This window comes from Homo sapiens, chromosome 9 (genome assembly GCF_000001405.40).
Source record: "Homo sapiens chromosome 9, GRCh38.p14 Primary Assembly".
Taxonomy (NCBI): domain Eukaryota; kingdom Metazoa; phylum Chordata; class Mammalia; order Primates; family Hominidae; genus Homo; species Homo sapiens.
Window position 1 is genome coordinate 135,893,604 of NC_000009.12, and position 13,204 is coordinate 135,906,807.

Sequence of the window (13,204 nt, forward strand, 5' to 3'; positions counted from 1 at the left end):
CCAGGAAGGAGAAGAAAAAATGGGGCAGAAACAGTAAACATATAATGGATGAGAATCTTCCAATACTTGTGAAGCTCATGAAACCATAGTCTCAAGAAGCACTACAAAATGCCAGCAGGATTCAAAAAAAGACATCTACAGACCAAAGAACTCACAGTAATACTGACGAAATCCAAAGACAAAGAGAAGATTTTTCAAGCAGCCAGAAGGAATTTCTGGCCAGGACAAAATGGCACACACTTGTCTCTCCCTGTTCCTCTCCTCTAAGCACAACCATAAACCCTGGAGAGAACCCTAGAGACAAAGGAGGACTCTGAAAGGTGGAAGAGGAAAGCAAACTGGCTTAGGGCCTCAGGACTGGAGGACCAACACAGCAACAGGGTGTTCTTACGACCCCCCACCCAACGGGAGGTGACACAGGCCTGATGCTTCCTGACTCCCTGCCTAGCAACAGAGGCAACCCAGGTACACTTATTCTGCCCTGGATTGAGTAGGAGTTCCACCTACCACACCAGGCGAGCCCAAGCCCTACTAACAATCAGCAGGTAGGGACATCAGCAAGAGATCCCTCAGCCCAGAAGCACTCTCCTTCCCCATCAGGCGGACCTGAGACACCCCTCCCACAAACTAGACACACCCTGCACCAAGGGAATCCAGCAAGTGGGACCACCATCACCAGCACCTGGCCTAGGAGGCACTCTCCTTCCCCACTGGTCACGGGACTCCTCTCCCCACTGAGGGAAGCCATCCGAGGGGAGGGGCGGACACCGGCACAGGAGCCACACTCCACGCACCTGACGGTGATGCTGAAATGTTCCACCCCTCAGAGGCAGGGGTGTAAAACAAACACCCAGCCTGGGAAGCTCTTGGTCCTGTGCGCAGAGACTCCCATGTCCATCCAGAGGCAGCACGCTGCCCAGCCTAAGGAGCTCCTGCTGCCCTCGAGCAACATCAGTGGGGACCCATGGAAGCCCCAGGGGAGAGGCTAAGTCAAGCGACCAAAACAGCACCACAAAGGCTAGGAAGGTCAGACTATCACCAGAACCACAGTCACAAAAGTAGGACAGGCCTGCATGCTAAACCTGAACAAGGTGACTACTGCTAAAATAAAACCAGTACCCAGAGTTTCCTAACAAAATAGACAAAATGATCAGGAAGCCATCAGAAATGACTTTAATCAGAGGATGATGAACTGGCACAAACACCATGATAAATCAAATGTTGGAACTATCTGACAAGGATTTTAAAGCAACTGGCATGAAATCACTCCCAAGTAATCACAAATTCTCCTGAAACAAAATTAGAAAATTCTGGTAATGAGAGCCAAATGAAGAACTGGAAAATACAGTAACAGACATTTTAAAACTCACTGGATGGGCTCAGCAATAGTTGAGATGACAGAAGACAGAATCATTGACCTTGAGGTCAGATCAAGAGAATCTACCCAATCTGAACAACAGGCAGAAACTGCAATGGAGAAAAGAAGAACAGAGCCTCCAAGACCTGCGGGAGAATAACAAAAGATCCAAGGGTTCTATCACCGGAGCCCAGATCAAAGAGGAGAAACAGCAACAGAAAGAGAGAAAATCTTCCCAAACATGTTGAATGACAGGAATGAATGAAATGTTTTAAGAAACTGAGTGAACTCCAAAAAAGATAAACCTAACGAAATCCACACCAGGACACATCATGACTAAACTTCTAAAACTAAAAACAAAATATTTTCAAGCAGCCAAAGGGGAATGGTACGATACATACAAGGGAACACCAGCTCCAAAGACTTCTCATCTGAAGCTATGGAGGCCAGAGGGAAGTGGCACAGTTTTCAAGTGCTGAAGGAAAAGAACTGTCAATCAACCACAAATTCCATATCCAGCAAGACTATCCTTAAAAAAATGAAGAGGAAATAAAGATGTTTTCTGGTGAAGAAAAATAAAATAATCTGTCAAACCTTAAAGAATGGCTAAAGGAAGCTGTCCAAAGAGCAAGAAAATAAGGAATCTTGGAGGACCAGGAAGAAAAATGCAGAGACATGAGTAATGAGTAAATACAACAGACTACCCTCCTTATGAGTTTTTTAAATTACATACGATGACAAAAATTTTAACACTGTCAGATGGTCAAGACAGTGGTATTTAAAAGTGGAGAGAGCAAGGGCGGCTAAATGGAAAAAAGGTTTCCACATTTCACTGAAAACAGTAAAATAAGGATATCAGTAAACTGTTGTAAGTCACATAAGTATACCGTAATACCCAGAGCAGTCACTAAGAAATTATACAGAGATACACCCAAAAACAATATAAATAAATCTAGAGAAAATCCTAAAAAATGGTCAATTAACCAATAAGAAGTCAAGAGAAGAGAAACAGGAACAAGAAACAGAGGAAACAAACAGAAAACAAACTATAAAATGTCAGACTCAAGTCCTAACGTTATAAATAGTAATTGTTAACAATATAATGTTATTAGTAAATGTAAACACTCTAAATACACCAATCAAAAGACAGACTGGTAGAGGGTAGATTAAAAAACATAACATCATTACATGCTCTTTACAAGAAATACACTTCAAATTCAACAACTTAAGTAGGTTAAAAACTAAAAGGAGGGAAAAAAGATACGCCATTCAAACACTTTTTTAAAAAAAGCAGAACTACATTAATAAAGTAGAAAAATTACGAGAGGCAAAAAGGGACATTACATAATGATAAAAGGATCAATCTACCAGAAAGACCTAAAAATCCTGAAAGTCCACGCACCAAACTATAAAGCCTCAAAGTACATGAAAAAAGTTGACACAGCTAAAAAGAGGAACAGACAAATCTACAAGTATAGCTAGGGACTTCAACACCCCCTAGACAGAATTACTAGACATAAAATCAACAAAGATATAAATCAGAACACAACCAACTAGCAGAATACAACTGATAGAACACTCCACCAAGTTACAGCAGAATACTCATTTTTTTCCAAATGCCCATGAAACATTCACTAAAAGAGAACATATCCTAGGCCACAAGACAAACCTTAACAAGTATAAAAGAAATCAAACTAGGTTATCTTAATGAAATCATATGGGAAATACATAAGACAAAACAGGAAAATCTCTGAACACTTGAAAATTAAAAGTTTGAAATCATTGAGGAGTGCTGTGGTCTGAGTGTTTTCTGCCCCTGCAAAATTCACACGGCAACCTAATCCCCAATGTGGCAGTGGTGAGAGGTGGGGCCTTTCGGGGGTGAATAGGTCACAAGGGCCCTACCCTCATGAATGAGACTAAGGAGGCTTGAGGGAGCCTGTCCTCTTCTGCCATATAAGGACACTCAGAAGGTGCCATCTATGAGGAACAGGCCCTCACCAGACACCAAATCTGTTGGCACCTTAATCTTGGACTTCTTAGCCTCCAGAACCATGAACAATCAATTTCTGTCATTTATAAATTACTCAAAAGTACAGCAGTCCCCTCTTATCCCCAAGGGATAAGCTCCAAGACCCTCAGAGGATTCCAGAAACAAAATATATACATATAGGGCTCAGTACTATACTTTCCTACACACGAAAGTTTTTTTGAGACACGGTCTCACTCTGTTGCCCAGGCTGGAGTGCAGTGGTACAATTACAGCTCATTGTAATCTCAAATCCCAACTCAAACGATCCTCCCACCTCAGCCTCCTGAGTAGCTGGGACTACAGGCACACAGCCACCACACCCAGCTAATTCTTTTTTTTAATGTGGATCCTAGGTCTTGCTATGTTGCCCAGGCTGGTCTCAAACTCCTAGACTCAAGCTATCCTCCTACCTCAGCTTCCCAAAGTGCTTGGATTACGGGTGTGAACCACCACGCCTGGCCCTCAAAACAACTTACTGTACTATACTCACACTTCTCATGAGGATGTGAGATGAGAAAATGCCTACATGATGAGATGAAGTGAGTTGAATGACATTAGGCATAGTAGTGACCTAGCTTTAGGCTACTCCCAACCTTCTGACAATAGGTCAGACAGAGAACTATCTGCTTGGAGAGATCCTGGGTCATCAAGCCATGATGACGTCCATGGTGGGATGTCAGGAGCAGATGATATCAATGACTTACGAGAACAGCATATACAGTGTGGACATGCTGGACAAAGGGATAAGTCACGTACCAGGCAAGATGGCGTAAGACTTCATCATGCTACTCAGAACAGCATGCGATTTAAAACTTATGAATTATTTCTAAATTTTCCATGTAATATATTCAGGCCACAGTTGACCAAAGGTTACTGATAACAGGGGACTACTATATTTCGTTATAGCAGCCCAAATGAACTAAGACAATGAGTCAAAGAAGTAGTTATCAAAGGAAATTTTTAAAAAATACCTAGAACTGAATGAAAATGAAAAAACAACATATATGTGAGATGCAGCTGTGGCAGTACTAAGTGGGAAATTTACAGCACTAGAGTCTTACATCAGAAAAGAGGAAAGGTCTCAAATCATTAATACAAGTTCCTAGCTCAAGAAACTAGAAAAAGAAGACCAAAATAAACCCGAAGGAAGCAGAAGGGAAGGAGACAGGTGTGGCTAGAAAAGGGCAACAGTAGAGGTCCTCCTGGGATGGAATGATCTGTACCTGGATTAGATAAAGGTCAATATCCTGGTGTAATATTATGCTACAATTTTAGAAGAAGTCATCATTAGGGAAACTGAGTAAAGGGTACCAAGGATCTCTGTATAGTATTTCTTTAAAATGCATGTTAATATACAACTGTCTCCAACTGGCCAGGCGTGGTGGCTCCCGCCTGTAATCCTAGCACTTTGGGAGGCTGAGATGGAAGAATCACTTGAGTCCAGAAGTTCCAAACTAGTCTGGGCAACACAGTGAGAGCCCATTTCTACAAAAATAAAAATTGTTTAAAGAAAAATATATATATATACACAATTAACTCAAAACTAAAATTTAATTTTTTTACATTAGCCAAGGATTTTAAGATACTTCATAGAAAAAGGTACTCGAATGGCCAATAAGCATATAAAAATGCTCATCATAAGTCATCAGGGAAATGCATACAAAAACCACGGTGAGATACAACCCACCTACTTACATAACTAAAATCAAAAAGACTGACATCATCAAGTGTTGGCAAGGATGCAAAGCAACTGGAATTCACATAAGCTGCTGGCCAAATAAATATGTCACTTTGGAAAACAACTGGGCACTTTCTTACAAAGTTACACATATGTATCTTATTATCACCCAGTAATCCCAAGCACAGCTGTTTAAGATAAATGAAAACATCTGTCCACATAGATGAATGTTCACAGAAGCTCTATTCATAATAGCCAAAAGCTGGAAATGCCCCCAGATAATCACCAACAGATGAATGGAGTTCTAAAACGTGAGCTAGCCATACCATGGAATATTATTACTAAGCAAAAAAGATCTACACAACATGAATTTCAAAAATACTACGCTAAGTGAAAGAAGTCAGATTAGATGCACAGAGGAAACTCATCTACAATAACAGAGCAGAGCAGTGAAGCCCTGGGTGGGTCCTGCCGGGCAGGGGCACAAAGGAAACTCGGGAAGTAATGAGAATGCTGTCTTGATTGTGGTTGTGGTCACAGTGGTTTAAATTCCTCAAACTACACTCTTAAAACATGTGTGCTTTACCAGATGTAAATCACACCTCGATAAAAGTGGTTCTCTCAAAGGTCCAAAATGGCCGGGCGCGGTGGCTCACACCTGTAATCCCAGAACTTTGGGAGGCCGAGACAGGAGGATCTCTTGAGCCCAGGAGTTCGAGACCATCCCTGACAGAACTTGTCTCTATTAAAAAAAAAAAAAAAAAAGTCCAAAACAAAAGTCTTCACTTTATACCTTACAATGGGCATTAACCATTGTATCCTAGCAGGGACTTCTCTGAAAAGCTCAGATTTCATACATCTCTCCCCTCCTCAGAAACCTTCAGTGGTTCCCCAATTCCCACAGAGCAAATCCCCAATCTACGAATCAGCCACTCAAAGCATTCTGCGCTCTGGCCTCAGCACTTTTTCCAGTCTAATTTCGCCTTCCAACTCTGCAGCCACTACCCCCATGAGGCCACCAGCCTTTCCCACACGGTGTGCACATCACGCACTCCCCTCCACTTCCCCCTATTGTCTTTGCTTCTCTTAATTCGTTCCCTTACCTCCATCTGATTCTCACACACCTAGACTACAAACTCAGTTTTCACTCTAATGGAACATTCCAGATTCCCTCAGGGGAGTCTCCCTCCCTCTACTCCCCTGTTCTGCCAGTAGCATCTGCCCTTTAGAGAGCCAGCCTCCTCAAGCCCGTCATTATGGGTCTCTGTATATGCAGACACTTCCATTGCTACAGGAGGCCTGAAAAGGATACGAAGGGCCCCACAGTTCACAATGTAATGCCCAACTGAACTCATGTAAGTTTAACCTTTTTTGAGACAGGATCTTGCTCTGTTACCCAAGCCGAAGTGCAGTGTCACAATTATGGCTCTCTGCAGGCTCAATCTCCTGGGCTCAACTGATCTTCCCACCTCAGCCTCCCAAGCAACTGGGACAACAGGCGTGCACCACCATGCCCAACTAATTTTTATGTTCTTTGTAGAGACAGTCTCACTCTGTTGCCCAGGCTGGTCTCAATCTCCTGGGCTCAAGCAATCCTCGACCTCAGCCTCCCAAAGTGCTGAGATTTCAGGTGTCAGCCACCACACTCCACCCCCAGATATAAGTTTAATTTTGACTAGTTGAGTTTGAAGTGATGGGACGAGAGTGACTGGGGAATAATAAACCACTCTAAGAAAAAGAGGGCCGGGCACGGTGGCTCACGCCTGTAATCCCAGCACTTTGGGAGGCTGAGGTGGGCAGATCACGAGGTCAGGAGATCGAGACCATCCCGGCTAACATGGTGAAACCCCGTCTCTATTAAAACAATACAAAAAATTAGCCGGGCGTTGTGGCAAGCGCCTGTAGTCCCAGCTACTCAGGAGGCCGAGGCAGGAGAATGGTGTGAACCCAGGAGACAGAGCTTGCAGTGAGCCAAGATCATGCCACTGCACTCCAGCCTGGGCGACAGAGCGAGATTCCGTCTCAAAAAAAAGAAAGAGAGGACTAGGTGGGAGCTCAGGAAAGCCAGAAATAAAAAAAACTCAAAGATCTTTCTTTTCTTTGAGACAGGGTTTCACTCTGTTGCCCAGGCTGGAGTGCAGTGGCGTAGTCTCGGCTCACCGCAGCCTCCGCCTCCTGGGTTTAAGCGATTCGTCTGCCTCAGCCTCCTGAGTAGCTGGGATTACAGGCGCATGCCACCACACCCAGCTAATTTTGTATTTTTAGTAGAGACGGGGTTTCACCATGTTGGCCGGGCTGGTCTCAAACTCCCGACCTCAGGTGATCTGCCCACCTCAACGTCCCAAAGTGCTGGGATTACAGGCATGAGCCACCACGCCTAGCCTCAAAGATCTTTTCTGTAGTGACAACAAAAGTTATGAAAGTAGAAAAATGCTATGAAATAATGACTAAATATTCCTGTCAAGGGCACCATCGTTCCTGTGTCTGGGCTCCCCATGGCAGTTCAGCTGACTGTAACTCACCCTTAGCCACCTCCCACAGCCACTGTCAATCAGTCCAGCTCCATAGATTCAGCTTGTATATCTGTTGGCTCTATCTACCCTTCCTATTCCCTCTGCCGACAGACAGGCAAGTCCATCTGGGCACAGTGGACTAACTCACTCACTCATACCTGTGATCCCAGCACTTTGGGAGGCCAAGGTGGGTAGGAGCACTGCTTGAGCCCAGGAGTTTGAGAAGCCTGGGCAACACAGGAAAACTCCACCTCTACAAAAAATAATAATTAACCGGACCAGGAGGTGCAGGCCTGTGGTCCTAGCTGTGATCCTAGCAACTCGGGAGGCTGAGGTGGGAGGATCACTTGAGCTCAAGGAGGTCAAGGCTGCAGTAAGCTGTGATCATGCCACTGTACTCCAGCCTGGGCAACAGAGCAAGACCCTGTCTCAAAAAAATAAAAACAAGAACAGGCAAGTCTTTGGCATTTCCAGCCTAACGACATCAACTCTCAGGTAGAACACCTGTCTATGGCCTCTACCCACTCAAACCTGCTAAAAACATCTTCCCAGGCTCGCTCTCTCGGCACGACATCCCCCTACTTAAAAACCCTCCCAGGCGAACATCATCAAAGAAATCCCCAGCCAACCTGAGCACCATAAACAATCTGGCCCCAGACTATTTTCCAAACTAATCACTTACTATTTCAGTCCACAAATCCTCCGCCTCAACAAGGTTAATCTACTCAGTACACCCGAAGACACCTCTCCTCTGCACAGGGCTGTAGCCAGCTGCCCTCCCCTCTGCTCTTAGGGGCTAACCATTCAACAAGTATTTGAGCACTCTGTACTGTGGACACAGCAGTAAGTGGGACAACCATAATCCCTGGCCTCACAGAGATGCACACATAACTAGGCAGCAGGTGGTTCTCAGGACACCTCTGCAGAGGAAAGGTCATGCTAGCTGGACCAACTAGCAACTCCCACAGTATTTAGTACCACCTAACAGGTGCTCAGGAAGCATTTGAAGATGCTCTGTAACCCCCATGTCAGAAACACCCAAATCCCTTGTCAAGAACAACCAAAGACGATTTAAATATACAATCTAAACTCATAAACCAATAATCTGAACAAGTCATCACCTTCAGAAATGTGGCAATGTGCTTACAAGTGTGCTGCCATCAAGAGCAGCCTCTTCACACCAAGACTCCAACCACTGTTGCCCTCCTGCCAACACAGGGAGGAAGACACGCAGTGGTTTCACCTGTAAATTTAAATAAAGAGTCTCAATTTTTACACAGTTTTACACAGGAGGGCAAGTTCTGGAGGTGGAAAGGGGCTCTGAGCACAGATTTCATTTTAACGAAAAGTCACTACAAGGAAACAATATGGCGACCCTCTGGAGTTGATTATAAAGGGATTTTGCTCATCATGTCAAGTTAGCAAACCGGAGTGTAAACTCTTCTTGTTGCCTATATCATGAAACTGCTGGTCCCTGAGATGGGGACTAAAACCCAGGCTTCACAGGCCACAGCATCCTCACACTGATTTCTTATTCCATAACATGGTTTCCAAATCAGTAGTTCGAATTACTCTAGCAAGAGAAAAAAAGGAGGGGATCAGACAATTCCTCCCAACAGTGTGCCTCTGGGCAGGCCATGTGGCTTCTGCACAGGGCCACGTGCTGTCAGTAAGGAGAGGGGATGAACTGGCGAACCCTAAGCTCCCATCCAGTGCCCTAGGGTTCAGGGCAGCTTGGCTCTGCAAGCAAAAGGAAAACCTGGTTTCCACTGAGCTACACCGCCGACATCCTTGCAAAGAATTGAGTGCATGCTAGTACTTGCCCTGGGTTGTTTTTTAACATTGTCCTTGAGAGATAATAAAAGCTTGCTCTCCACATTGTCCCCTGAAACCAAGGCCTAGATACCTCTGAGTTTCCTAAGGGCATGTACAAAACGCACAGTGGCCGAGATCAACGCCAGGACTGCACTGCTCTAGTCCAGCGTGCTATGCGGTAAAATAAAGGGAACTTCAGCCACCGCCTCAACTTTCCACCAATTTATTACAACTTTCACTCAAACATCACCACAAAATGTGATGACTAGTCAGGTTCTGCACCTTCTTATAGACATTTTTAAGCGGACAATTTTCAACATGTCCAATACATTATTTCTTTAAAAAATGCAAACACTGTCAATGAAACAAGAGAGTTACCAAAAGAAAGGGAGGGGGACCTAAAAATAAAAGCCCAAGGCGGCCACAATTCTTGGCTGTGGCCCCAGGAACGAATGAAACTGAAGGAAGTGTTTCTGCACAGCCATATGCCACAAGGCCTCGCCAAGGGCAAGCTCTCCTGAGCCCACCCACTTACTACAATGGCAGACTGGTGGCCCCAGGACACCAAAAATCTCAAAAGGCTAATGCAAAACAAGACAGCAGCCAGCCCTGGAGTTTCAGCAGGCTTTCAATGCTTTCAATCTTTACACAAATGGAGGATGGGCTTTAGTTAGCAACCTAATGAACAAGCCTTTAACAAGTTAAATATTGAAGCCACTTTCACCATCATACCCCCAAAAGCGATTTCCAATTAAAACATCCATATTGAAAGAACCATGTCTGATTAACTGAAAACTAAGCTGGAGAGGTACATGGAGACATTCAAAAGAAGAAACAAAGCAAATGCTGCTGGATTAGAAGAAGTGTTGGGGGGACCCACACTGTCCTACCAAAACCCCCTCCCCACTCAGTCTCTTACAAGATACAGCCACACTGGGTAGCAGCGAATCTCACACCTAGGCTGTGACCCCAACAACGTAAATCACTTCAGCTGAGCTGAGGCAAGTATTTCGGTCATCTGAATTACGATCTCTCCAACCTGTAAATTTAAAGAGAGTCTCAATTTTTACACAGTTTTACACAGGAGGTCTAAGTGCGGTGCCTCATGCCTGTAATCCTAGCACTTTGGGAGGCCGAGGCGGGCAGATCACCTGAGCCCAGGAGTTCGAAACTAGCCTGGGCAAACAGACCCCATTTTTACAAAAATAAAAACTGTTTAAAGAAAACCCCCATCTCTACAAAAAATACAAAAGTTAGCCAGGCGTGGTGGTGCACCTGTAGTCCCAACTACTCGGGAGGCTGAGGAGGGAAGATCACTTGAGCCCGGCAGGCGGAGGTTGCAGTGAACCGAGGTCACACCACTGCACTCCAGCCTGGCCGACAGAGCGAGACCCTGTCCTCCACAAAAAAAAAAAAAAAAAGGAAAAAAGAAAATTACACACGAGGCTGAAGCAGGAGGATCACTGGAGCCCAGGAGTTGGAGACCAGCCTGGGAAACACAGGCAGACTCCATCTCAAACACCTGGCCTCAAGTGATCATCCTACCTCTGCCTCCGAGTCACTAGAATTGTAAGTATAAATTACCACACCTGGCTTAAAAACTTTTTTTTTTGTAATTACATATGCTCCCCCTGTGAAGCAAACTATAGAATGTAAAAGCCCTCTCTCGGCAAAAAGAAGTGGAAACCAGCCAGGCGTGGTGGCTCACACCTGTAATCCCAGCACTTTGGGAGGCCAAGGCAGGCGGATCGTGAGGTCAGGAGTTCGAGACCAGCCTGGCAATATGGAGTAACCCGTCTCTACGAAAAATACAAAAACTGGCCGGGAGTGGGGGCGCACGCCTGTAATCCCAGCTACTTGGGAGGCTGAGGCAGAAGAATCGCTTGAACCCAGGAGGTGGCGGTTGCGGTGAGCTGAGGTCGCGTCACTGCACTCCAGGCTGGACGATAGAGCGAGACTCCGTCTCAAAAAAAAAAAAAAAAGTGGAAACCAGACCTCCTAAAATCGGAGTCTGATGTGCGAAGGCACTGTCACCCACCAGTAAGGGGCACTCCAGTCTCAGCTCCTAAGATGGTGTCCAGTCTTCTCCAGCTCCTGTTCATGTTTCTTTTCTTTAAATGCCCACCTTTTAATAATTCCAGAACTCAAAAGCCCATGTTAGTATCAGATTGTGAATTCATCATCCGATGAGTCAACAAGGATTAAAGAGTGACCTGGTACCGGAAGTGAAACTAGACGAACCCAATACTAACACAGAGACACGCGTACTTATTTCTGGATGGCTGACAAATCCCATGCTGAATGCCAAAGCTAAATGCAATGAAATAAAAAATGCATGCACCTTGCTAAAGAAATTGGAAAGCAGATCGTGAAAGTTCTTTTTATAGCAATTTGTCTAACATCCGCTGCCTGAGCCCTCAGCCCTCTCCACATATAAAATCTTAAAAAACATGCAGGAGTAAAACTTTGTGCTCGGATCCCAGGAGCCATGCCCAAGAATGCACTGGGCTCCACAGCACCTACGGGAGCCCAGCCAGCGCCCACGAGCAGCTGCGGTGAACAGTCCTCAGTGAGACACTCCACAGCAGCGGAAATGTGGAAAAGTGAAGATGAAGTCAAGAAGAACCTAAGAACGTAACGTGGGATAAGGGAATAACAAAAGCCAGTCTCAGAAAGAGACATCATTGGCAAAGGTGTAAAAACTAGTTCGTGGTGTAAGCACATGCGGCAAAATACAAAGAAAAGCAAAACAGTGACTAACACAAGGTGTGAGGCAGGTGAGCCCACGCAGCCGGCAGTGACTGCAAGATACCCAGGCGTCCGCTCTCGGGCTGTTCTTTGCACCTGACTCAAGTTTCATACCTACATCTTACCAATTCCGTTCTCAAAAACTCATGTGAAGTCTTGGATGTAGCAGTGTTTCTTCCTCATTACAACACAGAAACTAAGGTTCCACTGAGCCAGTAAACAAGAACTGTAAAACTGAAAACTGTCAAAGGAAAAACTCTTTCCCAATTACTACTTACACAGTACAAAAACCAGTTTGAAATAAGGCGAGTTATTTAATCCCTAAAACTTACAAAACGCGTTTGTCCTTATGACTAACTCGAGTCTAGCTGGGGCACAGGCCACTGTCAAACAGGGCAACGCCTACTCAGCGTTTTCCAAACTGGTCAACTGAACTCTTCTCTGGAAGGGCTGTCTCCTTTAGTCTTACTCTAAAAAGGGTAATTTTTCACCAGAATAAAGGCAAATATTTTAAGAATGCTTCAAATGAAAAGAGGATTGCAGAAATATTAACCTTTAATTGTACCTGAAACAAAGCACCTGAAATTAATAAAGAAGTCAGCCACTGACGAGAATCACTAGGTCTGTCCTGTTCCCAGGGCACGAAACAGAAGCGTCTTAATCCACTAAGCACATTAGGGCCTAACAAACTGGACTGAGTAACAAGGTTACCTAGTTCTTCCAAACAGGAATTAACCAAAGGGGATCATTATGATTAAGCACAATGCGCGGAATACGCAATTTCTAGTTGGGGAATTCAACAGCTGACAGCTTGTAAGCATCAAAATTCATAACAAGTGCAAGGCTCGGAATCACAGGTCCAGCACTGGACGATGCCCGGCGCGCCGGGAAGCGGCGCCTCAGACGGCGGCCCCGCGTCCCCATGGTCCCTCCCTGCGCCCAGAACCGGGCAGCTCCTTCCCGCCGCCGCCGCCGCCAACGGGAGGCTGGGGGCACTCCCGAAATAGGAGCGGAAGCCCCGACCCACGCCGCCCTCCGCCGCAGGGACGCCCACTCGCCAG

General features: G+C 45.3%; 1 protein-coding gene across 7 annotated transcripts in view, besides 2 other annotated features; it reads right to left on the reverse strand.

Moving 5' to 3' along the window:
* The window catches only part of CAMSAP1 (calmodulin regulated spectrin associated protein 1), a 99,060-nt gene that overhangs the window by 85,117 nt on the left and 739 nt on the right, over window positions 1-13,204 (reverse strand). The window lies entirely within an intron of this gene.
* Window positions 11,236-12,435: an enhancer, noted in NCBI's record as "P300/CBP strongly-dependent group 1 enhancer chr9:138796685-138797884 (GRCh37/hg19 assembly coordinates)". NCBI's record gives its function as "activates an origin of replication core promoter dependent on BRD2, BRD4, P300/CBP, MED14 and CDK7 cofactors, with strong dependence on P300/CBP, by STARR-seq in HCT116 cells {active_cell/tissue: HCT116}" and the evidence as "EXISTENCE:reporter gene assay evidence [ECO:0000049][PMID:35650434]".
* Window positions 13,082-13,131: a silencer, noted in NCBI's record as "silent region_20489". NCBI's record gives its function as "represses an Ori minimal core promoter by ATAC-STARR-seq in GM12878 lymphoblastoid cells {active_cell/tissue: GM12878}" and the evidence as "EXISTENCE:reporter gene assay evidence [ECO:0000049][PMID:35858748]".